This window comes from Homo sapiens, chromosome 8, assembly GCF_000001405.40.
Source record: "Homo sapiens chromosome 8, GRCh38.p14 Primary Assembly".
NCBI classification, from domain to species: Eukaryota; Metazoa; Chordata; class Mammalia; order Primates; family Hominidae; genus Homo; species Homo sapiens.
The window spans coordinates 143,788,404-143,790,924 of record NC_000008.11 but is presented as its reverse complement, the minus strand read 5'-3'; the positions used below and the strand labels follow the sequence as shown (position 1 = coordinate 143,790,924).

Sequence of the window (2,521 nt, the reverse complement as noted above, 5' to 3'; positions counted from 1 at the left end):
CCTCCCGTCTGCCTGTCCATCCCCCACCCACTAGCACAGACCCTTCCTGCCCTCCGAGGCGAGGCTGAGCTCCGAGGGCTGCACCCTCACCGTCCCTCCCACGTCTCCCGCTGCGCCTCACTGCGCACGGGTCGGCCGGGCAGGCTGCCCATCCCCAGCAGGGCCTCCCCCAAGTGCCTGCAGACCCATGTCCGCCGGCCGGGGCCCGGGACTGCCGGAGTCCTGGACTGGCACACGCCACCGCTGCCCCCACGCACGCAGCACAGATGCAGCACCGCGCCCCGGGGCACACGTTTTATTGGGACTGGGGCCAGCACTAGAGGCCTGTGCCTGGCAGCTGCACGCGCACTGGGAGCAGCACCTGCAGCTGCTCAGCTGGCGGCCACTGGACCTTGGTGACGAAAAAGAGGCGGAAGTGCTCCAGCCGCTGCTCCTGGAACTGCGTGGGGCTATACTCAGGCCCGTCCGTGGGCCGCAGCAGCGACAGGTACCTCTCCTGCACCGCCTCCAGCTGCCGCTGCACGACTGGGAACAGGTCTTCCTCTCGCAGGTCGAACACCAGCGGCTTCCCATACCTGCCCCATGAGGCTGGTGAGGCCAGGGTGGGGCTAGGGAGGTGGGGTGGGGTGTACCTGTCACCCTGCCTGCCTCACCGCAGAGCCCCCAGCAGAGCCAGCCACATCGTCTCCGGCCTCAGGGGCTCCGGGTTCACCGTGTCCACATAGTTGGTATCCTGGTAGCGCAGGAAGGTGGCCGCCTGGCCCAAAGGGTCAATAACAAGAGGCCACCTGGGGACACCCATCAGGTCACTGCTGTCTGTCCAAACCCCAAATCGCCCACGTCTGGCCCGGAGAACTGACCGGCCATCGGCACGGATGCGGTTGCCTACATCTTTCATCAGCACATCGTGCAGCTCGGTGACCTGGCACTTCAGCCCAGGCGCCTCTTCCTCCCCTGTCGGGGTAGCAGAGTGCAGCTGACAGGCAAGCCCGACGCCGGACCCCGCCCTGGGCTGTATGTCCCAGCCCCCAGCCGGCGCCCCATGCCAGGCCCACCCTCCTGCGTCTGCTCCCGAAGCTCCAGCCTGGCCATAGCCAGCGCCTCCTCGGCCTTCTGGGCCTCCTGCCGCAGCCTGTCCACCTGGGCCTCTGTGTCCTTGATGGCCTGGAGGAGGAGGCCACACTGACTTGCTTGCCCTGCCCCATGCTCTGGCTGGAGAGGGCAGCTGCCCGAGCTTCCTCCCCACCCCACCCCAAGCAGGCCACTGTCGGCTGGTGACTCCCCATGTTTGAGAGGGAAAAACCCCAGGCCTGGGAGCGGGGAGCTCTGGGCTGGTTTGGAACAAGGAGGGGTGTTGAGGACGCAGGGGCATATCAAGTCCACCACGGGCCCCCACCTGCAGCGTGAGCTTGGTCTTGTCCATGCACCTCCACTCACACTGGTCGTGCTCTGAGATCCTCCGGCTAAGCTCACAGTAGGCCTGTTGCAGCTGGGTGGGCGTACGGGCAGGCCCTGGCAAGGCTGGCCAGTATCCTCCGACCAGGTCACTCCTGGCCCAGGGGCCTGAGGACACCTCCCCTCCTGGCTCTTCCCCCAGCTTCCTGGCCCTCCCTCGGCTCCCCCTCCTCCCCACCCGGCTCTCCCTCCTCCTTTCCTGGCTCCTCCCTGAGGTCACACTCACCTCCTTGTGACACTGCTGCTGCTCCCTGGTCAGCTGTTGGACCTTGAGGGTCATACTAAGGAGCAGGAATGAGCTGGGACAGAGGCTTCCGCCAGCGCCCCCACCAGCACCCCCTGCCCGGGCTCCCTGCCAGCGCCCCTTGCCAGCACCCCTCGCCAGCACCTCCCACACCCCTCCTGCCTTCCACACCGCTCAGCCTCGGCCTCCTTGTGCCTCTGGGCCTCCTGGGCCCGGCGCTGCTGCTCAGCCTCCATGTTCTGGAGCATGGCCTCCGTGAGGCTCAGGTCCCACGAGCGCAGCACGCTCACCACTGTGTCCAGTGAGGCCACCTAGTGACAGACGACATTTGTCGGGCCCTCAGTGCGTGTTCCGAGTCTCCTCAGCCTGGAGAGGAACTGTTGCTCTCCCATCTGGGAGAAAGGGTGCCATTATGCAGAAAGGGCCTCAGTGCTCACAGCTGGTGCGTGGTGGGCCCCAAAGCATGAGCCCCTGTGGGGCTGCTGTCCCCAAAGCCCAGGCCACCCAGGCCGCTGGGAATTCTCCTGGGCTCCCTGACCAAGTCCAAGCAGGAACCTGCTCCTGTGGCTGGGCCTCCAAGGGCTTCCTTCCCCTTCAGTCCCCCAGGACCTGGCCCAGGCTTCCCGCCTCTGTCAGACTCAAGTACACGCCTGAGGCCTTGGGTGCCACTGCTGCTTCCTGAGTAGGAGGCTGGCCCGCAGGATGTGCACACTGGAGCTCCCTCCTCTGTGGTCTCCCACAGATCTCTGCCTGCAGGACACAATCCCTGGGGCCGCCGCTGCCTCTCACCCTCCTGAGTCCCCAGCACTCCAGGAGCAAGGA

The 2,521-nt window shown here is 66.4% G+C and overlaps 1 protein-coding gene across 2 annotated transcripts in view; it reads right to left on the bottom strand.

The window, feature by feature from the left end:
* The window catches only part of IQANK1 (IQ motif and ankyrin repeat containing 1), a 56,507-nt gene continuing 54,265 nt past the window's right edge, over positions 280 to 2,521 (bottom strand). The window contains exons 8-14 of one of the 2 annotated variants that reach the window (NM_001381874.1): positions 1,862 to 2,010; positions 1,682 to 1,736; positions 1,397 to 1,489; positions 1,056 to 1,164; positions 861 to 954; positions 654 to 788; positions 280 to 575 (exon numbers count right to left, since the gene is read on the bottom strand). In NM_001381874.1, coding sequence (NP_001368803.1) covers positions 317 to 575; positions 654 to 788; positions 861 to 954; positions 1,056 to 1,164; positions 1,397 to 1,489; positions 1,682 to 1,736; positions 1,862 to 2,010 — 894 coding nt within the window. In that variant the 3' untranslated portion in view covers positions 280 to 316. Of the gene's footprint in view, positions 576 to 653; positions 955 to 1,055; positions 1,165 to 1,396; positions 1,490 to 1,681; positions 1,737 to 1,861; positions 2,011 to 2,521 lie in introns of both variants that reach the window. The other variant, XM_017014127.2, reaches the window with a different exon arrangement.